This window comes from Homo sapiens, chromosome 2, assembly GCF_000001405.40.
Source record: "Homo sapiens chromosome 2, GRCh38.p14 Primary Assembly".
NCBI classification, from domain to species: domain Eukaryota; kingdom Metazoa; phylum Chordata; class Mammalia; order Primates; family Hominidae; genus Homo; species Homo sapiens.
In genome coordinates, this window is record NC_000002.12 from 55,670,825 (window position 1) to 55,695,805 (window position 24,981).

The 24,981-nt window shown below is 40.0% G+C and overlaps 1 protein-coding gene across 4 annotated transcripts in view, besides 4 other annotated features; it reads right to left on the reverse strand.

Moving 5' to 3' along the window:
- The window catches only part of PNPT1 (polyribonucleotide nucleotidyltransferase 1), a 59,784-nt gene extending 36,764 nt beyond the window's left edge, over window positions 1–23,020 (reverse strand). For 2 of the 4 annotated variants that reach the window (NM_033109.5, XM_047446161.1), the window contains exons 1-11: window positions 22,839–23,020; window positions 16,821–16,881; window positions 15,546–15,620; window positions 14,119–14,224; window positions 12,961–13,010; window positions 10,031–10,094; window positions 9,888–9,935; window positions 8,858–8,971; window positions 2,069–2,255; window positions 1,171–1,222; window positions 495–552 (exon numbers count right to left, since the gene is read on the reverse strand). In NM_033109.5, the coding sequence (NP_149100.2) occupies window positions 495–552; window positions 1,171–1,222; window positions 2,069–2,255; window positions 8,858–8,971; window positions 9,888–9,935; window positions 10,031–10,094; window positions 12,961–13,010; window positions 14,119–14,224; window positions 15,546–15,620; window positions 16,821–16,881; window positions 22,839–22,999 (976 nt within the window). In that variant the 5' untranslated portion in view covers window positions 23,000–23,020. The remainder of the gene's footprint in view (window positions 1–494; window positions 553–1,170; window positions 1,223–2,068; window positions 2,256–8,857; window positions 8,972–9,887; window positions 9,936–10,030; window positions 10,095–12,960; window positions 13,011–14,118; window positions 14,225–15,545; window positions 15,621–16,820; window positions 16,882–22,838) is intronic. The other 2 variants (XM_005264629.3, XM_017005172.2) reach the window with 2 other exon arrangements.
- Window positions 22,210–22,269: a silencer, noted in NCBI's record as "silent region_11501". NCBI's record gives its function as "represses an Ori minimal core promoter by ATAC-STARR-seq in GM12878 lymphoblastoid cells {active_cell/tissue: GM12878}" and the evidence as "EXISTENCE:reporter gene assay evidence [ECO:0000049][PMID:35858748]".
- Window positions 22,840–22,959: an enhancer, noted in NCBI's record as "active region_15785". NCBI's record gives its function as "activates an Ori minimal core promoter by ATAC-STARR-seq in GM12878 lymphoblastoid cells {active_cell/tissue: GM12878}" and the evidence as "EXISTENCE:reporter gene assay evidence [ECO:0000049][PMID:35858748]".
- Window positions 22,970–23,029: an enhancer, noted in NCBI's record as "active region_15786". NCBI's record gives its function as "activates an Ori minimal core promoter by ATAC-STARR-seq in GM12878 lymphoblastoid cells {active_cell/tissue: GM12878}" and the evidence as "EXISTENCE:reporter gene assay evidence [ECO:0000049][PMID:35858748]".
- Window positions 23,060–23,209: an enhancer, noted in NCBI's record as "active region_15787". NCBI's record gives its function as "activates an Ori minimal core promoter by ATAC-STARR-seq in GM12878 lymphoblastoid cells {active_cell/tissue: GM12878}" and the evidence as "EXISTENCE:reporter gene assay evidence [ECO:0000049][PMID:35858748]".

Below are 24,981 nucleotides of genomic sequence, written 5' to 3' on the forward strand. Positions count from 1 at the left end.
CCTACTCTGCATCAAATGTAGTGCTAGCTACATTCATAGAAGTTAATTTAGCAGTAACCTTGTGAGCTATCATTATTACAAGTTTATTGAAAATAAAGCTGAGAAGCAATGAGAGTAACATTTATTTGAGATCTTCAACTAAAGTTAAAAAAAAAAAAAGTCTATTATTTCTTTTAATGCTTTTAAAATTAAAAAATACATAGTAATAGCGGTTCTGTGCAAAGGGGACTTTCTCTTTCCCCGAAACAGTTCGGGGAAGCTTTGGAGAAGAGGTGGCATTTGAACCTTGGGTTAGAAGAAGACCACCTGCTATGAGAGAGCATTCTAGGTCTAGGGAACAGCAGCTGTAAAGTTGAAAGTCCTTTGAATTCTTCTTTTCCTACAGATGTGATGCCTTTCCTCTTTGACCTTTAATCCCAAGAAGCAAGAGTCAGGCCATGCCTTATTAAAGCTGCCCTCAGCAAAAAAATAAAATAAAATAAAATAAAATTTACCTTTTAGTTGTTCCTCCGTATCTAATCTTATTTTGTTAACAGCTTCATCTCTGGAAACCTAAAAGAAAGTTGAGGTTCAGTTATTACATATACATGACAACATTTAATATTTCTGTTTTCTAATTATTATACAATGAACACATTGTGAATTACTCTGATTTCTTTAATATTCTTTAAAATATTGGAATTGGTTCTTGATTTATGACAAATACTACATGTTAATTCATTCAAATACATTTGTACACTCCCCTAAAACTTATATTAAAAAGAAAAGAACTTTGGGTGGCCAAGGTGGGCAGATCACTTGAGGCCAGGAGTTTGAGACCAGCCTGGCCAACATGGCCGTCTCTACTAAAAATACAAAAGATAGCTGAGTGTGGTGGCGTGCACCTGTAATCCCAGCTACTTGGGAGGCTGAGGCATGAGAATCGCTGGAAGGCGAAAGTTGCAGTGAGCTGAGATCATGCCACTGCACACCAGCCTGGGCGACAGAGAGAGACTCTGTCTCAAAAACAAAACAAAACAAAAGAATGGAGAAACAATTAGGCTTTTGTTAGTTTTTCATTTAGAGATTTTTAATAAAAATAGGACTAGCATTCATAAAGAAAATTACATGAGTTATGACAAAAATGTATTCCTAGGGCAATTATGGAAGACAAAACTCAGGTATACCTACTTTGTCATGCTCGTAATCTGTAAAAACTGCATAGAGTCTCTCCATAGCAAGTCTATTTAAGCAGAAAATAAATGTTAGCATAATAATATCTGGAAACAAGAGGCAGTTTCTATTATAAACAAAACTGAAATATTTAATAATAATCAGCTAAAACTTTAATAAATACTTCAGAAAGAATTGAAAATTTATATTGCTATTTATCATTGCTAATCTGTTTACTATTTATGGTATAGAACACAAATTTCTTTCTCCCACCCTCCCAGGGGAAACCACATGTAGTATCCTGTTCTTTTCTTCTTAATTGTTCAATTAATTTCACCTTTCATATATTCTTTTTAACCTCTTCCTTTCTTCATTCTACCCATTTTGGCTCCATTATCACATGAAACTCTTTTGCTAGAAAGAGTTAATTTAATTTCCAACTCATGGCTGTGCAACTGACATTAAGGGAAAGTATTAACCTTTTCAATTTTTTCAAATAAAATAATTTTCCAGTGATTCATTTACATTTACTGAGTGTCTGCCTAACGTTCTAAGCACTGGGCATGTAACAGTGATTACCTCTGATTTCTTTTTGAGAATTCCAACAGTTTCCTTAGATATTCAAATATCTTAACGTTTTATTCTTTTTCCTAGACGTGGAGAGATGTGGTGCTTACCTGAATCTTGACCAATAAACACACTCTTTCATTTGAGATTCAAAGTTAGGTCTTACAAGAGTGATGTGGGCTTATCCTTTTTAAGGGAGTAAGCAGATATTTATGGGAATGACTCTTAAAACAGAAAAGTGCTATTTATGAAGTAATGCATGGGCAGTGCTTCCATGGGAAGTTTCTCTCCCACGAGGAAATTAAATCTGATGACAATTTCATATTTTCATTTGCACAGATGTTCTTACTTATGAGTATATTTCACAATCTCTGGCGAAGGGGTAAATAACTTCTGAGGTGTCCTCTTGGTAACACCAGTTTCTTTTACCAACTGCTGAATGCCCTGAATTATTTGTTGGGTATATTTCACTCCCACTTTGATAGCATGGCAAAAGTCCTGCTGTAAAATGTTCTCTGCAGAGGCTTCCAACATGACTATTTAAAGGAAAAAGAAAAAAAAAATGACTGCCATCGAAGCTCTTAGTAATATAACATTTTCAAATACCATGACATGACATAAATATTATGGATCAATTTTACTTCTTAGTGATAGATCCACCTTGATTTCTTTCCTCAGAATCAACATACTTCCAAAATGTAAGCAGCGGTAAATGAATAAAGACACCTTGATATCTGTATTTAGGTTTACATTCTCCTTAAGTTTAAGGAGGGATTTCCCATAAAAAATGAAACAGAAAAAAAAAAGAAATCATGCACATATTTTAAAAATAAGTTTTATTGAGCTATAAGTCACATAAAATAAAAATTAAATCTTTTAAAGTATACAAGTGCATTTGTTTTTAATACTTTTTTTTTTTTTTTGAGACAGAGTCTCACTCTGTTGACCACGCTGGAGTGCAGTGGCGCAATCTCGGCTCACTGCCAGCTCTGCCTCCCAGGTTCACACCATTGTCCTGCCTCAGCCTCCCGAGTAGCTGGGACTACAGGCGCCCGCCACCATGCCCAGCTAATTTTTTGTATTTTTAGTAGACATGGGGTTTCACTGTGTTAGCCAGGATGGTCTCAATCTCCTGACCTTGTGATCTGCCTGCCTCAGCCTCCCAAAGTGCTGGGATTAGACGTGAGCCACTGTGCCTGGCATCTTTTTATATTTTTAAAAGGCCATATGTATGTCCTTTTCTGTGAACTGTTTATATTATTTGCCAAAGTGACTTTAGGTGATCTGCCTGCCTTGGCCTTCCAAAGTGCTGGGGATTACAGGCGTGAGCCACTACATCCAGCTAATTTTTGTAGTTTTAGTAGGGACGGGGTTTTGCCATGTTGCCCAGGCTGCTCTCGAACTCCTGACCTCAGGTGATTAACCCGCCTCAGCCTCCTAAAGTGCTGGGATTACAGGCGTGAGCCACCGCTCCTGGCAATACATATTTTAAATAAAATGTAAAAATATGTAACACAATAGGAATCTAATAAATATTTCCTGTTTAACAATTAATTCTCACATTGTCTAATTCTTGCACAGATGGGGAAATCTCTGCAGTGATCCTGTTTCAAGTAAGCCAACTAAAGGACTGAATAATAGAATTTTTTCTATTGCATTAGAAATAGCTAAAGGAAGTTTTCTAAACAGAAATGAAAAAATAAGAGAAGACATCGTGGACTGTTAGAAAGGAAAGAAAATCAGTATGCAAACTAAGAATAAATATAGAGGCTGAGCGTGGTGGCTCACACCTGTAATCCCAGCACTTTGGGAGGCTAAAGTGGGCAGATCACCTGAAGTCAGAGTTCAAGACCAGCCTGGGCAACATAGCGAGGTCCTGTCTCTATAAAAAATGAAAGAATTAGCCAGGCATAGTGGCGTGCACCTGTAGTCCCAGCTACTCAGGAGGCTGAGGCATGAGAATCACTTGAACCCAGGAGGTGGAGGTTGCAGTGAGCTGAGATCACGCCACTGCACTCTAGCCTGGGCGACAGAATGAGGCTCCATCTCAAAAAAATAAATAAATAAATAGAGAAAAAGAGTAAATACAGAGCAATAAGCTTTTCTTTCCCTCTTGAGTTTTCTAAATTATGTTTGACAGTTGAAGCAAAAGCAAAAATTGTAACACTGCCTGATATGGTTCTAACTGTAGAAGAAAATGATAACAATTGCATTCCAAATGGGAGAGGGTAAAGGGAAATAAGGTTTCCATATTTTGCACCAGGCCTGAAGAAATTTCTTCTGATACCATGATACTGAGATGGCTATATTCTTTTTCTCATCTGTATTTCCAAGATATCCTCTCACTTTGACAGGATTAATCCGGAGATTTTTAAAAATTCATTTAATGGGTATAAATTATATCTCAATAAATTGCTTTTAAAAATAAAATATGTGGCCAGGTGTGATGGCTCATGCCTATTGTCCCAGTACTTTGGGAGGCCAAGGTGGGAGGATTATTTGAGGCCAGGAGTCTGGGACCAGGCTGAGCAACACAGCAAGGTCCTGTCCCTAAAAAGATAACAACTAGAAGATAAAAAACTCAGCTGCGGTGGTGTGCCTGTAATCCTAGCTATTCTAGAGGCTGAGGCAGGATGATCACTTGAGGCCAGCAGTTTCAGGCTAGGCTACAGTGAGCCATGATCACGCCACTATACTCATACTCTAGTCTGGACAATAGAGTTGAGGAGAGTTGAGAACCAGATTCAAAAAAAAAAAAAATATGGCTGGGCATGGGGCTCATGCTTGTAATTCCAGTGCTATGGGAGGCCAGGACAGGAGGATTGCTTGAGGCCAGGAGATTAGCCTGGGCAATATAATGAGATGCTATATCTAATAAAAATAATGGTAAAATTTAAAAAATAGAATATGACAAAGAAAAATGGATACCCCCCAAATAAACTTTGTTTTCACTCATTAAACTTTAATGCAATTCCTTTTAAAAAATACTTTCTAAGAAAATTTCTTTAGCCAGGTGTGGTGACATGTGCCTGGATTCCCAGCTACTCAGGAGGCTGAGGACATAGGATCGTTTGAACCCCACAGTTTGAGGCTGTAGTGATGTATAATCACACCATTGCATTCCAGCTTGGCAACAGAGTGAGACTGTCTTAAAAAAAGAAAGAAAGAAAGAAAGAACACTCCTTACAGTTGAGTCTACAGAGCTGTGCTGTCCAATATGGTAACTACTAGCCACATATGGCTACTTGCATTTAAATTATTTAAAATTAGACAAAATTAAAATTTTGGTTCCTCAGTTACTCTAGCCACATCTGAAGTGCTAAGTAGCCACATGATCAGATATAAAACATTCCCTTCACTGCAGAGTTCTACTGGACAACACTGCTATCGATGCTAAAAATTTAAACATAAAAGCTTGTCAAAATGATTGCTATAGGCCCAGCGTGGTGGCTCACGCTTGTAATCCCAGCACTTTGGGAAGCTGAGGCAGGTGGATCACCTGAGTTCAGGAGTTTGAGACCAGCCTGGCCAACATGTTGAAACCCCATCTCTACTAAAAATAAAAAATTAGCCAGGTGTGGTGGTGCACGCCTGTAGTCCCAGCTACTTGGGAGGCCGAGTCAAGAGAATCGCTTGAACCTGGAGATGGAGGTTGCAGTGAGCCGAGATTGCGCCACTGCACTCCAGCCTGGGCGACAGAGTAAGACTCCATCTCAACCAAAAAAAAAAAAAAAAAAAAAAGAAGATTGCTATAAACTGTCAACCATTTTAGCAGTTGAAGATGAAGGAGTTTTGAGATTAGCTGAAGCTATAAATTCTAGACCCAAAATATCTTCTAAAAACATGTTACTGGTATACTTTTTCCTGACCGATATCTTCTCACACACAGAAATATTAGTGATATTAAATATACCAGTTGAAAACAAACATCTAAATGGTACGGTTCAGAATGTTGGTGTTGAAGTAACCCAGCAGCTGACAGCATGGAGTAACTATTCTTGCCGTGTAAGATTATACTCTAAAGATCTGGATGACTGCCCGGGAGTGGTGGCCCATGCCTGCAATCCCGGCACTTCGGGAGGCTGAGGCAGGTGGATCACCTGAGGTCAGGAGTTTGAGACCAGCCTGACAAACATGGTGAAACCCTGTCTCTACTAAAAACACAAAAATTAGCCAGGTGTGGTGGTGCACGCCTGTAATCCCAGCTACTCAGGAGGCTGAGTCAAGAGAATCACTTGAACCTGGGAGGCGGAAGTTGCACTGAGCCAAGATCATGCCACTGTACTCCAGCCTCGGCAACAGAGAGAGACCTGGTCTCCAAAAAAAAAAAAAAAGATTTGGATGACTAAATGACTAAATATTTTAATAATGAAATAGTAGCAATTACTTTTTTGTATTTTTGTATCACAGAAGTTCCATGATGGTGGTATTTCACTTGGACCCGATGTTAACTTTAACAGGTAAACAAGGGGTTAAAATGCATATTTGATGCATCTTTATGAAAGCAGAGAGAGCTGGCTGAATAGCTGCATGGAAATAGTGATGCAAAAGTCATAAAATGGAGGCTGGTAATTCCTAAAAACCATCCCCTTACAGGTTGGTTCTGAATCACTCTCAGCCTCCCTCTACCCAAGACTACTCTCTGAAATTTATGCGCTCTAGAGTCTCATTCTTCCCTCCTGTGAGCAACAGGTGAGAAGAGCCAGCTGGAAGTTGGCCTGTGGGGTTTCTGTGGCATGCCACATGTGCAGCAAAGATTCCTTGGTTCTGCTGGGTGCAGTGGCTCACGCCTATAATCCCAGCACTTTTGGTGGCCGAAGCGGGCAGATCACTTGAGGCCAGGAATTAGAGACCAGCCTAGCCAACATGGCAAAACCCCATCTCTACTAAAAATACAAAAATTAGCTGGGCATGGCGGTGCACGCCTATAATCCCAGCTACTTGGGAGACTGAGGCAGGAGAATCACTTGAACCTGGGAGGCGGAGGTTGCAGTGAGCTGAGATCGCACTGCTGCACTCCTCCACCCTGGGCAACAGAGCGAGACTATGTCTCAAAAAAAAAAAAAAAAAAAAAAAAAAGATTATTAGTTCATTCCTCTAATGTCTACTTAACAATTAGAAGGGTTCAAACTCTAAGGTAGATAGTGGCTATATGACCAATTAGCAGCAGGTTTACTTCTGTGTCTTTTTTGTTTGTTTGCTTGTTTGTTTTTTGAGACAGAGTCTCGCTCTGTTGCCCAGGCTGGAGTGCAGTGGTGTGATCTCGGCTCACTGCAAGCTCTGCCTCCCGGGTTCACGCCATTCTCCTGCCTCAGCCTCCCAGTAGCTGGGACTACAGGCGCCCGCCAACACGCCCGGCTAATTTTTTTTTGTATTTTTAGTAGAGACAGGGTTTCACTGTGTTAGCCAGGATGGTCTCGATCTCCTGACCTCGTGATCTGCCTGCCTCGGCCTCCCAAAGTGCTGGGATTACAGGCGTGAGCCACTATGCCCGGCCATTTCTGTGTCTTAATGATAATAGCAGGTATTAACTGTATGCTTATTAGGTAACATGCTGGGCACTTTGCAAATCTTGACTCTTATCTTCATAACTACCCTGTAAAGTAATGAGACTAGTTTACTAACAGCGAATAAACAAACGCTGTAACTTTCAGCAAAAATTCCAATGCAGATGAACAGGAAACCAATACTTTGCTCAAGGCTCCGAGATGCTCAAACATGAGGTAGACATCATCTATTATTCATGGCTTCCCCATTCTTTGGAATATCCTCTCTACATTTTGATAGTTACTCACAGTACGAATCCCACCTTCTGCAGGCAGAATACAAAAATCATTTCCTTGCCTCACTTGCAGTCGAGGCTATAGTCATGTGCCACAGTTCTGCTCAATGAGGTGTAAATAGAAACTACTGTGTGGGGATTTCTGGGAAAGGTGCTTAAAACGCAGGTTGACTTACTCAACTGCCACACACCTTTTTGCTGTTCCCTTCTTTTTTCTTCCTCCTGCCTGTAAGTCAGATAAGTTGGCCAGAGCTCTTCATGCCAGTTCATAAGCATGAAGACGAGGCCACATCTTGAGGATAGCAGAGGAGAAAGCTAAAAGGAATCTAGATTTCTTAAGATGTCATGTAACCACTATCACTGTCCTAGATTTACCACCTCTGAATTTCTTTTACCTGAGAGAAAAATAAAGTTTCCATCTTGTTTAAGTCTTGTTTATTTGGTTCGACAACACAACCCCCAACTAATATGTGGGGATTTTTCTAACTTATAGAACCTAATTTTAACTTCATCACTGGCTAACAAACCAGAAGAAGCTGGAAATGAGATGTTTCACATATTACTTGTACAAAAAAGCAGTAAAAGTTGAATAGTTTGTTTCATCAAAATGTTCCCACATCAGAAGACCCTATGTCAAAAAGTCACACACATCAAACATCACATAGTAGAATAAACCAACAATAAAAGCCCTTAAATAATCTGTCCAAGATCACATGATTATAGTGGCAGAGACAGGTTTCAAATCCAGGTCATTCTGACTGCTAAAGCCCATTTTCCTTCCACAGAACAAGGACCTGATTTTCGTTCATGCAAGTATGACATTTCTGTCACAAGGAGTAAGTGAAAATGGCCCATGGTCAATGCATTTCTTCTATTTTATTACCAGTTTTCCACCTAGTAGAAATGGGTCACTTCTCAAGAGGATACCAAGCAGACTTAGAATGAAATAGCTAAATTATAATGTTTAAACTAATAAAATGGTTACTACCAGACTTAGAACTTCTATTTTTAAAATAAGTTATTTAGACTAATAACTTATTAGTCTAAACATAATTATTGAAATTATTTTTAGACTAAAAATTAGTCATAATTTTAATAATTAAAATTTAGTCTAAAAATAATTACTGAAATGATCTTGGTAAATATTTTTGTATATTCTAAATAAAATTGAATAAAATCCTGTAATTTTAGGAATCATTTGATATGAAGCAAGAGCACAAAAATAGGACAGAGATAAAACATGACAAAAATTTTTATGGCTACCGACAAAACATACACACAGAGTTTAAATTCAGTTTAAGAAGCCAGAACTTGTAAGTAAAATCCAGAACAAATGTGGTATTTAAAACAACTTACCAATCTGACTTTTAGGTGCTCCAGCAACCACTAAATTTAAAGTACTAGAAGACATTTCTTTTCTTGTTGGGTTAACAACATATTCTCCATCAATTATTCCTATTCGTACTGCCCCTAAAATGTATTAGAATATTGGCAACTGTTTAATGGAAATACCCAGTTTTCAAGACATTATTCCAGTCATGGCTTCAACCCCATCTTTGATTGTGACCACAGAATAAAATCCATGTTTCTACACGGTATTTAAGACCCACAGAACATCCTACCCCACCCTACCTTCTGTCCTCACTGGATCACTCTGAATTGCTGAAATATACCACTTCTTCCACACCTCTGGGATTATGCTCATGTTTGTCCCCTGGTCTAGCCAGTCAGTATTCTCTCTAACGCAAATGCTTAACACTAGATCCTACTAAGGTTCAGCTTACACAAATGACTACTCTGAGGAGCCCTCCTTGACAACCTGACCACACAAAATCAAATCTGCTCTTCTCTATCATATTCTTAGCACTTTGACTATGTCTTTATAATAACACTGATCATAAGTAATTATCTGTCTCCTTTATGCAGAGATCAAGAACTGCATCTTTCATTGTTGTATTGCTAGGGCCTGCTCTGCCTAGGACACTTGATAATTATTTACTCACTGAGCCATTTTTATATTGCATGATTATGAACTTATAACAGCCGTAAGTTACATTAATTTCATCCTGAAGGAGTATATACTCTGATAATTTCCCAGTTAAAAAAAAAAAAAAAAAAGAAGTCCTCTAACAGAAAGAGACAATTATGAAGTCAAAATATCTAGGGACATAAAATCTGTAATACCGTAACATATGCTATTAGAAACAGAACCCAAGACAAGGATGAAAATGTCTGAAAGACCTGAAAGGAGACTTAGAACGTCATCTAGTTCAATTCATGAAGAGGTAATAAATCAGAGCCATATGCCATTGCTGTAACATGGTCACTACTACTTACTGAAAAAAAAAATACACATATGATTTCTTACTTTTAAATCCTAACTTACCAACAGGTCCATTCCAAGGAATATCTGATAATGAGAGGGCTACGGAAGCTTAAAAAAGGAGAAAAATCAGGGCCGAAATTAAAATTTCATTGCTTTAAAAAAATTTTTAATCTGATAATTTTAATCTCTACTTTTATACTTACCGCCATTAATTGCTAGGACATCAGGCTCATTTACACCATCTACTGCTAACAGATTACACAGAACCTGGTAAAAGGGAAAAAATTTGATTTGGAAGGGTTATCATTTAGGTTAACATCCTGACCTAAAATACAAGAGCACTATATGGCTAAAAGCAGGGGCTTTGTAGCCAAACCTCTTAATTTTGGCTGTCATTAAACGAAATGCTTGACATTGGATAAATTACTTAAATTAAACCTCAAAAGCTTCCTCATCTTTAAAAGGGAAAAACAGGCCAGGCGTGGTGGCTCACGCCTGTAATCTCAGCACTTTGGGAGGCTGAGGAGGGCGGATCACCTGAGGTCAAGAGTTTGAGACTAGTCTGACCAACATGGTGAAACTCTGTCGCTACTAAAAAGACAAAAATTAGCCGGGTGTAGTGGCCGGTGCCTGTAGTCCCAACTAATCAGGAGGCTGAGGCAGAAGAATCTCTTCAACCCAGGAGGCAGAGGTTGCAGTGAGCTGAGATCACGCCATTGCACTCCAGCCTGGGTGCCAGAGTGAGAATCTGTCTCTAAATAAATAAATAAACGGGAAAAATAATGGCCTCTTCCCAAAGGGTTCCTATGAGAATCAGATAAATACGGTAGGTAAAGCACTTATCACAGTCCTCGCATGTTGCAAGTATTCAGTAAATGTTAGCTATTTCTATCATATAAAAATATTTTCTAGGCCAGGCATGGTGGCTCACGCCTGTAATCTCAACATTTTGGGAGGCCGAGGCAGGTGGATCACTTGAGGTCGGGAGTTCAAGACCAGCCTGGCCAACATGGCAAAACCCTGTCTCTACTAAAAATACAAAAATTAGCCGTGCGTGGTAGTGCACGCCTATAATCCCAGCTACTAGGGAGGCTGAGGCAGGAGAATCACTTGAACCCGGAGGCAGAGGTTTCAGTGAGCTGAGATCGCGCCATTGGTCTCCAGCCTGGGCAACAAGAGTGAAACTCCATTTCAAAAAAAAAAAAAAAGGCTGGGCGCGGTGGCTCACGCCTGTAATCCCAGCATGTTGGGAGGCTGAGGCGGGCAGATCACGGGGTCAGGAGATCAAGACCATCCTGCCTAACACGGTGAAACCCCGTCTCTACTAAAAAAATACAAAAAATTAGCCAGGCATGTTGGCAGGTGCCTGTAGTCCCAGCTACTCAGGTGGCTGAGGCAGGATAATGGTGTGAACCTGGGAGGCGGAGCTTGCAGTGAGCCGAGATCGCGCCACTGTACTCCAGCCTGGTCGACAGAGCGAGATTCCATCTCAAAAAACAAACAAACAAACCAATAAAAAATTTCTGTTGGCCAGGTGCAGTGGCTCAGGCCTATACCAGCACTTTGAGAGGCTGAGGCAGCGGATCACTTGAGGTCACGAGTTCAAGACCAGTCTGGCCAACATGGCAAAACCCCATCTCTATTAAAAACAGAAAAAAATTAGCCAGGTGTGGTGGCAGACACCTGTAATCCCAGCTACTCAGGAGGCTGAGGCAGGGAGAATGGTTTGAACCTGGGAGGCAGAGATTGCAGTGAGCCGAGATTGCGCCATTGCACTCCAGCCTGGGTGACAGAGGGAGACTCTGTCTCAAAAAAAAAAAATTTCTGTTTATAAGCATAGATGAAACAAACTTTATACTGCAATAACGTGCCCATGTCATGCACTTAAAAAAGTTCTTTTTATAAGCATAGATTAAACAAACTTTATACTGCAATAATGTGCCTATGTCATGCACTTCAGAAAAAAACTTCAGTGACCGGGTGTGGTGGCTCATGTCTGTAATACCAGCAGTTTGGGAGGCTGAGGCAGGAGGATCGCTTGAGAGCAGGAGTTCAAGACCAGCCTGGCTTACATAGTGAAACCCCCTCTCTACAAAAAACAAAAAAACTTAGCTGGGTATGGTGGTTTGTGCCTGTAGTCCCAGCTACTTAGGAGGCTAAATTGGGAGGATCACTTGGGCTCAGGAGTTTGAGGCTGCAGTGAGGCATAATCATGCCAACTGTACTCCAGCCTGGGCAACAGAGGTCCTGACTCAAAACAAAACAAGACACAAAAAAAACTTCCTGAGGCTAAGGCTGTGATATTCTTGCAAAGGCATATTTGCAAGGTGTATTTATTTATTTCAAATGAATGAAATGGTTACTTAAGTATATGTGTCATTATCCTGAAAGAAAGTATTATTCAGGAAGTATTAAAATATAATAAAGTAGAGGTTCAGAGGATCCAGCAATAAAATTAGGTAATAAAAATTAGTTACGTTAGTTGTCCTATTCCCAGCCTGATTTGGTCTCCACTCACTGTAGTCACGCTGATCTTCTTTTTAAACTCATTAATTTCTTTCCTGCCTCTGGGCTTTCAATGCTTCCCTGACACACCTTGGTTGGCTAACTCCTACTGAAATTCAGGTGTCAACTCAAACAGACACTGAATAAATGTTAGCTTTTTAAAAGCACTATCTTTTGGCCAGGCACAGTGGCTCACGCCTGTAATCCTAGCACTTTGGGAGGCCGAGGGGGGCGGATCACAAGGTCAGGAGTTCAAGACCAGCCTGACCAACATGGTGAAAACTGGTCTCTATTAAAAATACAAAAATTAGTCGGGCATGGTGGTGCGTGCCTGTAATCCCAGCTACTCAGGAGGCTGAGGCAGGAGAATCACTTGAACCTGGGAGATTGAGGTTGCAGTGAGCTGAGATCGTGCCATTGCACTCCAGCCTGGGCGACAAAGTGAGACTCTGTCTCAAAAAAAAAAAAAAAAAAAGTACTATCTTTTTTCAAAAACGTAATGTAAAATATAACAGTATCATAAAAAATTCTTATGTTCTTTATAATGTTTACTCTAGGAAATATTACAGAGATTCATTAAGTAATTTTTGATTGATCTGGCAACTAAAAAACCTAAAGCAGAATCTACCTGTGTATCATAGAAGTAGCCAGCTGGAAAGAGCGGTCTAATTGAACGATCTGCCAAAAGAAAAAAAAACACATTAAACCGTACTGACAGAGTTGCTTTACAGTTCAAAACGTTTGAACTAATATAGATAGCCATTCAATATGTTTTCAAGAAAAATCCCCTTGGACTGATTTACTAAGAGGGACACAGATAAATGTCAGTGCTTCCATTATTACATACCATGCCCTAACAACAAAAAACAAACACAGAAGAAGCACATTAACAATAAAGATTGGGGAGCAATTTTTCATTCTGGTTCCACAGGCAACAGTTACATATATAAGCAGAGCAAAGAGACTTAAGACCAATAGCAGACCAAAAGAAAATGCTTCCTTGCTACTTTGTGTCTGAAGACTGTATATAAATATACATAAAATAGCAATTTCTGGCCGAGCACAGTGGTTCACGCCTGCAATCCCAGCACTTGGGAGGCTGAGGCGGGTGGATCACGAGGTCAGGAGTTCAAGACCAGCCTGACCAAAATGGAGAAACCCCATCTTGACTAAAAATACAAAAATCAGCCAGGCATGGTGGTGGGCACCTGTAATCCCAATCACTTGAACCCGGGAGGTAGAGGTTGCAGTGAGCCGAGATCGTGCCACTGCACTCCAGCCTGGGTGACAGAGCAAGACTCTGTCTCAAAAAAAAGCAATTTCTGGGTAGAAGAGCTATAAATTACATATGATCCCACAATATGTAGGGATGTTAAAGATTTGAAAGATTATGGACATATTTCAGTAGCTGATGAACATAATGTTTAGGAATTACTATTCTGAACATGAAAAAATGTACTAGGAATAGATTCAACAAAGTAGAGGCATGGGCCAAAAAATTCATATGCTCAATAGAGATTTACTCATTTAGTCAACAAATATTTATTGAATGCCTATTCTGTGCTAAGCAGTATAACAGGTACTAGGGATTCAACCCTGAAGAAATAAAAGTTTTTTCTTTCACAGTGCCCACATTTGAGTGAGGGAAGAGAAGGAGTGAATAATCTTAGGTGGTGTTAATGCTATGAAGGAAAACTTAAGACTTATTGTAGAACACAGATGCAAGAGAAGAGATGCTAACATAGGCATACCAGAGAAGATGAACGCCTCTATGTTAATATCTTACCTATTATTCGACTTGTTAGAATTTCTTTATCAGAAGTACCAATCTCTCTTCTCAGATAGTTTGTGGGAATTCTACCTGCTGCAGCAGCTTTTTGTCTGTAGTCAACCTGAAGCAGCAATAAAAAAAAGTTCATATAATTCTTTTTGCAGAAACAAACTATACTGTATGAATGCTAATTCTCCTGAGGTTGCTAACAACACAGTCTAGACTCAGAGTAGAAAATGTTATTTACTTAGCATTTTGTATCTTTTGGGGAGAGGAAAGTTGATAGAAATGTTTCTGCAAAGTGATTTTAAAAAACGTTCAGGTGCAGTGGCTCACGCCTGTAATCCCAGCACTTTGGGAGGCCAAAGCAGGAGGACCACTTGAGGCCAGGGTTTTAGAACTGCCTGGGTAACACAGAAAGACCTTGTCTCTACCCCCAACAAAAAAAAAATTAGTTGGGCACAATGGCCTGTGCCCATAGTCCTAGCTACTCAGAAGGCTGAGGTGGGAGGATTGCTTAAGCCCAGGAGTTTGAGGCTGCAGTGAACTATGATCACACCACTGAACAACTCTAGCCTGGGTGACAGAGCAAGACCCTGTCTCTTAAAAAAAAAAAAGTCTTCTACTCAACAGTAAAAGTGGAAGAAGACTCACTATTTGCCACAGATGCTCATTCTGATCAAGTCAAACATTGCTTTTTTTTGGTATCAACTCTGTTAAATATAATTGTACACCCCTTTTCATAATAGAAGGGAGCTATAAAATTCTCATGAGCTCATTACTAAATATACACAGTTGTCTCTTGGTATCCCTGGGGGATTGGTTCTAGGACCTCTTGCAGATATCAAAATCCATGGATGCTCAAATCCTTGATGTAAAACACCATAGTATTTGTTTATAACTTACGTATATCCTCTCATATACTTTAAATCATCTCTAGATTACATATAATCCTTAATACAATGTAAATTCTACATAAATAGTTTTTATACCGTATTGCGTAGGGAATGACAAGAAAAAAAGTCTGTACATATTCAGTACAGATGCAATTTTTCCCCCAATATTTTCGATCCATGGTTGGTTGAATCCATGGATGCAAAACCCAAGGACATGGAGGGCTGACTGTACTTGCAGAGTCATACTGAAGGGAAACTATGAGGGCAATGAATTCATTGCTTATTCAATGTCAAAGTACTCATGCACTTCCAATCTTCTTGTCAACTTACGCACCTGGACGTTCCAAATTCTAAAGTATGCTTAATCCTAGTATTTGTTTATGAAGCAGTTTATACTCTTTTAATGAATCAGTATCAAAAAACTAGGAAAAATTCTTTGTTGTGCAAGTTTGTATTTTCCACTCACTAGACACTGGACAAAAATATTATACATTCTACACTTTACTCAGACCATATTACAGTTCAGATAAATCAGCAAATACTTACCACCAAAGGCATAAACTGGGAAGGGGAAGGTTTTGTTTTACTGACCGCTGTGACCATTACTGCAGTGTCACCTGACTTAAACATAAAGAACAACGCTGGTAAGTTCCTTTGAAATCAGATATTAGCATCTAAGTAGCAACTGAATAAATCCTTACTCCAATTAAACTCAAGAAAAGATATCTAATTCTACGACACGATTATGAAATAAAAAATATTCACAAGTAGTCCAATCTTGATCTCTGAGCTTTTCAAAAGCTATGGAATCAAAATAAGGAAAGATTAACAGGTAATTTAGTCATATTCAATGAATTGAATAGTATTCTCTACTTCTTATGTGGCTATACATAAGGAAAAATTCCCCAATTATTACTATAGAAGAAAATACCAAAATCACTTTCTCTAGAAAAGCACAACAGAATTTATTAACGCATAAAACAGAAGCCCAAGTTTGGAAAGGATGTTAAACGTCACTTAATACGGCTGGGCACGGTCGCTCACACTTGTAATTGCAGCACTTTGCGGGGGCAAGGCAGGTGGATCACGAGGTCAAGAGATTGAGACCAGGCCAGGCGCGGTGGCTCACGTCTGTAATCCCAGCACTTTGGGAGGCTGAGGCAGGCGGATCACGAGGTCAGGAGATCAACACCATCCTGGCTAACACGGTGAAACCTCGACTCTACTAAAAATACAAAAAATTAGCTGGGCGTGGTGGCAGGTGCCTGTGGTCCCAGCTACTAAGGAGGCTGAGGCAGGAGAATGGCGTGAACCTGGGAGGCGGAGGTTGCAGTGAACCGAGATCGCGCCGCTGCACTCCAGCCTGGGCAACAGAGTGAGACTCCATCTCAAAAAAAAAAAAAAAAAAGAGATCGAGACCATCCTGGCCAACATGGTGAAACCCCGTCTCTACTAAAAATACAAAAATTAGCTGGGTGTGGTGGTGCACGCCTGTAGTCCCAGCTACTCGGGAGGCTGAGGCAAAAGAATCGCTTGAACCCAGGAGGCAGAGGTTGCAGTGTGCCAAAATCGCACCACTGCACTCCGGCCTGGAGATGGAGCAAGAGTCCACCTCAAAAAAAAAAATAGGTCACTTAATACATGCAGTGCTCTGGACTCTGGTTGTCTGGAATGATTCTTGCAGTAGAAATTATCTTAGTAGTATCTGAATTAATTTCCAGTACCAAAATTCTAAGTAGTTACACGATGTTGTAGTTACACATTTAGTATGAGTCTCCGTAACCATTTTTAAGATGAATTTTAAAAATCTGGACTTTTTACCTGTACTACAGCAGAGCCATCTGCAAATCTGGCCAGCTTTCCAGAAGATATTTCTAATTTCCTGTTTAAAAATAAAAATGCAATACAAGAAGACTTAGGTCATCTGTACAATTCCTGCTTAGTATAAAATAATAAAAGATTCTAAGGGAAGATTCTAACCCCCAACCCACCCACTCCACCAACAAAAAGGGGCAGAATCCATGATCATTATCAAAAGTAAAAGTGGAATTTAAGAGTGGCTTAAAGAAGAATACGGAAACCAAGGCACAGGATTGATCTGAACAGGAAAGTCTTTTGGAGGTTCAGAAGTTAACTGCTTCCCTAAATGTTAATTCCCATGTACCATCTATTTTTTTTTTGAGGTGGGGGGTGGTCTTTGTGCCTTGTATCTTCTTTTTCTTTTCTTTTTTTTTTTTTGAGACAGGGTCTTGCTCTGTTGCCCAGGCTGGAATGCAGTGGCACAATTACAGCTCACTGCAACCTAGAACACCTAGGCTCAAGCGATCCTCCAACTCAGCTTCCTGAGTAGTTGGGACTACATGTGCACACCACTACACTTGGCTAATTTTAGTTTTTGTATGGATGAGTTCTTACTATATTGTTTAGGCTGGTCTTGAACTCCTGGCCTCAAGCAATTCTCCTGCCTTGGCCTCCCAAAGTGCTGGGATTACAGGTATGAGCCACTGTGCCTGGCTCCATTTACCATCTTAGTACAGTCTCTTATCATCTCTCACCTTGTTGACTACAGTAATGTTTTAACATACAAACAGGATTGTTTCCCTACTTAAAAATCCTTTAGCCAGGCGTGGTGTCTCCCACCTGTAATCCCAGGACTTTGAAAGGCTGAGGCAGGCCTGATCACCCGAGGTCAGGAGTTCAAGACCAGCCTGGCCAACATGGTGAAATCCCATCTCTACAAAAAATATCAAAATTAGCTGGGCATGGTGTTGCGTGTCTATAATCCCAGCTACCAAGGAGGCCGAGGCAAGAGAACTGCTTGAACCCAGGAGGGGGAGGTTACAGTGAGCCGAGATTGTGCCAATGCAGTCCAGCCTGGGTGACAGAGTGAGACTCTGTAACAAAAACAAAACAAAACAAAACAACAACAACAACAACAACAACAAAAAACTTTAGAATTTCTCCCAATGCTTTTAGGACAAAATATAAACTCCTAAATATTGCCTATAAGGACCTTCATGTTCAACAGAAGGGGAAAGAACAATTTTCAATTCAATGAGGAAAGAGTAGCCTTTTGAGGCAATAGTGGACAACTGGATGCAAAAAAGAATGAATCTTCATAAATTAAGTCAAAATGGATCCTAGACCCAAACGTAAGAGCTAAAACAATAAAAGTTTTAGAAACAAAACACAGGAGTAAATCTTCAGAGACTTGGGCCACACAAAGTCTTAAATATGACATCAAAAGCATAAATGACAAAAGAAAAAAATAGGTAAGCTGATTTCATCAAAATTTAAAACTTTAATTAAGAAAGTAAAAGAAACACCATAGATTAAGAGAAAAATATTTGCAAACCATGTATCTGATAAGGGACTTGTGTTAATATCTAGAATATTTAAAGAATGCTTACAATTCAACAATAAAGACAACTGAATTTTAAAACTTGGCAAAGGATTTGAATAGCCATGTCTCCAAAAAAGACATACAAATGGCCAGTAAGTACATAAAAATATGCTCAATATCATTAACTATCAGGGAAATACAAATCCAAATCACAGTGAATACCACTTGACAGCTGTTATGAATGTTCCTTGTAGCATTATTCATAATAGTTCCCAAATGGAAACAACCCAAATGTCCATCAACTGATGAATGGATAAGCTAAATGTGGTATAATCCATACAACTGATTATTATTCAGCGATAAAAAGGAACAAAGTACTAATACATGTCACAACATGGATAAACCCTGACAACATTATGTTAAGTGAAAGAAGACAGTCACCAAAGACTATGTTTCCATGTAAGAAATATTCATAATAGGCAAATCCACAGCGATGGAAAGTAGATTAGTGGTTACCTGGGGCTGGGGAGAAACGCTAAGTGACTACTACTAATGAATTTCTTTTTAGGGTGATAGAAGTGTTCTAAAATTGATGGTGGTAATGGCTGCAAAACTTTGAATATACTAATATCCATTGAACTGTACACTTTATTTATCTGTATTTACTTATTTTGAGATAGGGTCTTGCTCTGTTGCCCAGGCTGGAGTGCCGTGGTGCCATCTCAGCTCATCTCAGCCTTGACCTCCCAGGCTCAAGTGATCCTCCCATCTCAGCCTCCCGAGTAGCTCGAAATACAGGTGTGCACCACCATGCTGGGCTAATTTTTAAATTTTTTGTAGAGATGAGGTCTCACTATGTTACCCAGGCTGGTCTCAAACTCCTGGACTCAAGCAATCCTCCTGCCTTGGCCTCTCAAAGTGCTAGGATTACAAATATAAGCCACTGCTCCCAGACGAGTTGTACACTTTAAATTAACTGTATGGTATGTGAATTATATCTTAATAAAGGTGTCTTATATACATGAAATAGGCAGCACTATTAGCCTTATTCCCTAGTTTCAGCAGAGAATGCAAAAAGAGGTTACTGATGTCTTGAAACAGACCAGCAAAACTTGTCAAAGAGCTCAAGATTCATCAAAAGGTGTTTTGAGATGAAACCAAGTCAGTGACCCCTGAAGATACAGAGAAAGAGAAAGATGTTGTGTCACATGAACTCAGTTTCGGCAACATTCTATCATAGTCTGGTGCTGAAAATGCACAAACCAAACACAAGCATGTAGACAGGCCCAATGCCCTACCCCAAGTAAGATTATTCTGTCTTTCACATACCAAGGAGATGAAGGAACAACCCTTAATATTTTCACCTGTTAAATACCTTTGCCAGAAGCCTGAGTTAATGAAAAGCATATTTATCTATTCAGTTAGACTCATTTTGTTAAGTTTGAAAGTCAGAACAAAGTATGTACATTTAATATATGTTAATAAATACAATGATTTTGTAGTATCAAATTCTTGACTCTGAAATATTAGTTTTTTTTTAAAATCAGGGAATATTTGAGAAATTCTAGTTGGGTTTCTATTTATTCAACACAGATGTTATAATGATGAAAGCCTACAATAAAATGGGTCTCCTGTGACTAATGGGAATGAGGTACAGAGAGGCTGATGCTGGATTAGTATGTTGAGTAGATGGAAGGAATGAGATACTCAAAACCAGTCACACTGTGTAGTATCACAGACCTGCAACAACCTATAGCTGAAATCAGTATTAAGTAATGGTTTCATGAGGCAAATGTAAATCTGACATCTTGAAATTTTGTTTAACCCTGAGTAACATGCCACCAGTACTTCTCAAAACTTACCAGGAACTGGCATTCTGTCTACCAATGTAAATTCTGAATACCTAAGTGATCTCTGTGAAGGGGAGTGGAGGATCTTTAACTAGACAGAAGTGGGCCCAAAACACAGGGAAGAAAAACTGTGAAAGCTACAGTTCTACTCTACTAACGGGGCTACTGCCTTAGCATTTTGCCCACTGTGGCATATTCTGTTGAATATCCTCAGTGATTTGATACATAGTAGATGCTCAATAAAAGCTTGCTGAAATGAAAATTAAACACCTGCCTCCAAGGTTACTGTAAGCATTAAATATACTATCTGAAAAACACCTACAATAATTATATAATCTTCCAGAATGCAGTAAAGAATATATATGATAACAAATATAATGTGCCTGGTACATAGTAGTCACTCAATAAATGTTGCCAATGGCAAACAAGACAAAAATGAAAGAATTTATCCAGCAGGTATGATATTTTATTAGTCTAGTTATTTCAACACATGACACGAGTTTAAAAAGAACTACCTACAAAAGAGGAACAGGTTGATTAATAAATGAAAGAGTCAAAGTAGATTATTTATGGAAAATATGGAGGGCAGCAGCTGCATCTTGTTTTCAGTATCTAATGCCTATCTCACAGTATGTGTCTGTTGAATGAAATGTTCTGGGCATTTCTTTGAAGCATGTGTAGTCCTTGAAGAATGGAAGAGATGTCCACTTCCCTCAAAAATCAGAATTAATGAATGCTGGGAGTGGAATAAGCCTTAGAGATAACCTAGTCTAGGGGTGACCAAACTACAGCTTGTGGCCTATTTCTATATTACTCTTCAATTAAAAATGTTTATATATATATATATATATATATATATATATTTTTTTTTTTTTTTTTTTTTTTTGAGACAAAAGTTTCACTCTTATCACCCAGGCTGGAGTGCAATGGCACGATCTCTGCCACTGCAACCTCTGCCTCCTGGGTTCAACCGATTCTCCTGCCTCAGCCTCCCAGGTAAATGGAATTACAGGTGCTTGCCACCACGCCCAGCTAATTTTGTATTTTTAGTAAAGACGGGGTTTCACCATTGTAGCCAGGCTGGTCTCGAACTCCTGACCTCAGGAGATCCACCCACCTCAGCCTCCCAAAGTGCTCGGATTACAGGTGTTAGCCACTGTGCTCGGCCGTTTTTTAAAATATTTCTAAAGGGTTTGTAAACACATACACACAGTGTGTACCCCAAAAAGCCTAATATATATATTATCTGGTCCTTTATAGAAAAGTTTGCAGACCCTTGATGGAATCCACTCTCCACACTTTGCACAAGAAAATGGTGAATTAACCTGTTCAATGTCAACTACTTATCAAAGTTAGAGTGCGAGACCTGGATTCAAAATGATTTTTTTGCTTTTTGTATGAACTGGGGTCCAAATTTTTTCAAAGTACACGTAAAAAATTTAGATATATGAAGTTTGCATTAGCAATTCCATTTATTCTAAGAACGATTAAAGCAAACTTTTTTTTTAAAAAGCGGTCCCCTAAAAAAAAGTATGGGCTTTGTAAGCAAAAAACAGAAATTCAAAAACCACCTAGTCCCATAATACTAACTTTTTTATAGACTCTTAGAAAGTTATCTAACCTTTTTTGAGCCTCTGTAGTCTTAACTATAAAATGAGGGTAATAGTACCTTTACGACAGGTTTAAAAAGATTGCGAGGATCATATAACTGGCGTTCAAAAAACTGACTTTTCCTTTTCCTCCTAACCCAGGGTCATAGTGGTCACACTTTAGGCAATCAATTAGATTGGATGACATGATATCTTGTACTCCTAACTTCAAGTCATCCTTCCGTCTTAGCCTCCCAAAGTGCTGGGATTACAGGTGTGAGCGCCTGACCTTTTGCCATCTCTTTGCATCGATCTTTGCTTTTGTTTCTCTCTGTGTGTCTCCTTGCCTCTCTCCCTGTCACTGTCTCTCTCTCTCCCCTGCCTCCCTCTTGGTCTCTTTTTTTTGCTGTCTCTTTCTGATGACCTTGTTCCCATCTCTGTGCGTGTGTGGCTCTCTCCCTGTCCATCTCTTACCATCTCTGCCTTCCTCTCCCAGGTCTTAAACGAATATTTCCACAATGTCTGTGAACTGGACCTGGTGTTCAACTTCTACAAGGTAGGCTCCTGGTGAAGAGGAGGCTGAAGGAGCCCGAGGAGTGGGACGTGGGGGACCCGTGGTGCACTAGCCACCCGGAGCCTCTGCTGAGGTCTGTGTCCCAGCTCGAGGGGCATCAGAGCCCCAGCTTCCAGGGTCCGGGCCAGCATCCCGGGGGGCCTCGTCTCACCCACGTCAACTCGTTATTCCTAGGTGGAATGTTTCCCACTTAAGAGCCCAGTGGTCCCGGAAAGTAAAGAGATCGGAAGTCAGGTGGACGGACAGAGTCGGATGGAGCAAAGAAGCCCGGCACACACCAACAGAGAGAACGACATAGCGCGGGAAGGAGGGTCCGAGGAGACACATTCCAAACCCGGAAAGGGAAATTTGGAATTTAGGTTTAGGGTAAGGAGAGATTAAATAGAGCTGGGATACCGGGTTTCTACCCTGGGAGATGAATACGCTCAAGCTGGCTGGACAAGACACCTTATGACAATACAGTGAACGCACGTCACTCCTTACCTGTTGCCTAAGTCCACGGCCACAGCTCGAGACCCTGCGCTACTCCATAGTGCTCGCACTTGCAACTGGGTGAGTGCCCGATCCCGCCGTGGCAGAAGGAAAGGACCATCGCTCAGGGGCCGGAGCCGGAGGCACGAGCAGCAGTACCTGCAGGCCGCCATGACACCCGGCACGCGGTCAACGCAGGCTGTGCCCTGATTGGCTCACTCCGCAGACCGTGGGGCGGAGCCTGATGGAGTTTCGTTTCCGCGGTGCCCGAGGGACGCCGGGGTAACGGAAACCTTGGCCACCTTCTACGAAGACTAGAGAGGGTCAAACCTATCAGAACGCGATTATGTTGCAAACGATCTTTGTCTTTATGTGCCAACGAAAGGCAATTAGATAAATAAGGTTTTTGTGTGTGTACTATCGTAATTTAAAGGAGAAGTCCTAGAATAATGTAAATGTTTAATATGCAGAGTAAATTTATATTTACTTTTAATACTAGAAGTCATAGAACAACACATTATTATTATTTGGATCTGTGAACTAAGAATTAGAATTTGGGTGGTGGGCCTTGGAAAGAGATCTCCTTCTCCCCTTCTCCGCCCTGGTTTTTATTTTAAAAATTTCACATAGCAGATATGTTACTACAGCGATTTGTGTTAACCAATTTACAGTAAATTCATTTTTCATCGACTTGTAATTTTAGAAATCTTTATTGTCACTTCTGATTCATTTTCATTTCCATTGCTAATAATTAGCAATTTATATTTCTGTCCCTTTTGGTCGAACTCTTAAATGCAAAATGCCAGCTACTGTTTGAAGTAAATATTTTGTAAAATGAAAAAAAAAAGTTTTTGGGATTTGAAAAATTTTTAGAGAATGGATAAATTTCTTCCACCCCATTAATCCATTCTGTTAGAAATTCTTTATGTTTTTCCTTGAATGAACCAATGGGCATTTTCATATTATGATGTAAATTTTTTGTGTAAGGTGATAACCGCCTTACCCCAAAGAAAACCAAACAACAAAAACCCAACACTCATTCAAACACAGTTTTAAGAATTAAAAACGTTGGCTGGACGCTGTGGCTCACGCCTGTAATCCCAGCACTTTGGGAGGCCGAGGCGGGCGGATCACCTGAGTTCGAGACCAGCCTGACCAACACAGAGAAACCCCGTCTCTACTAAAAATACAAAACTAGCCGGGCATGGTGGCTTATGCCTGTAATCCCAGCTACTCGGGAGGCTGAGGCAGGGGAATCGCTTGAACCCGGGAGGCGGAGGTTGCAGTGAGCCGAGATCGCGTCATTGCAACAAGAGTGAAACTCGGTCTCAAAAAAAAAAAAAAAAAAAAAAAAAAAAAAAGTCCGGGCGCAGTGGCTCATGCCTGTAATCCCAGCACGCTGGGAGGCAGAGGCGGGTGGATCACGAGGTCAAGAGACCCAGGGCATCCTGGCCAACATGCTGAAACCGCGTCTCTACTAAAAATACAAAAATTAGCTCGGTGTGGTGGCGCGTGCCTGTAATCCCAGCTACTCCAGAGGCTGAGGCATGAGAATCGCTTGAATCCAGGAGGCGGAGGTTGCAGTGAGCCGAGATCGCGCCACTGCACTCCAGACCGAGACTCCATCTAAAAAAAAAAAAAAAAAAAAAAAAAATTAAAAATGTTGATCCGTGATGATTTAAAAAAGAAAAAAGAATGATGAGCTCTAAACAGACAAATGATTTGCTGGCAAAGCAGTTTTCTGACACCTTGCTTTCATGAGCTATTATTACTGATTTGGGATTTCCATTCCAATAGAGGGATTACCATTAACTTTGTTTACAGATTTTTAGTGTTAAAGCAGTTTTTGCGTCTCCTCCCTTTTACTTTACCTTGAGTTGCCACAGAGTTTTCCAGACCAATCTATTGAAATCTCTCATGAAGATAAATCTCTCAGAAAACCTACTTGCCACAATTGAACATGACTTTTGATTTATAGAGTAAGAATACAAAATCATCTTTTTGTTAATATACTTAATTACTATGTAATCATTTTCATTTGGGCAGTATTGCCTAATAGTTTAGAGCATAGACTTGGAGTTAGTCCCAGCTGGTTCCAATCTTGTCTCTGTTAATTACCAGTTGTGTGACTCTAGCTCTCTGAGCCTCAGTTTCC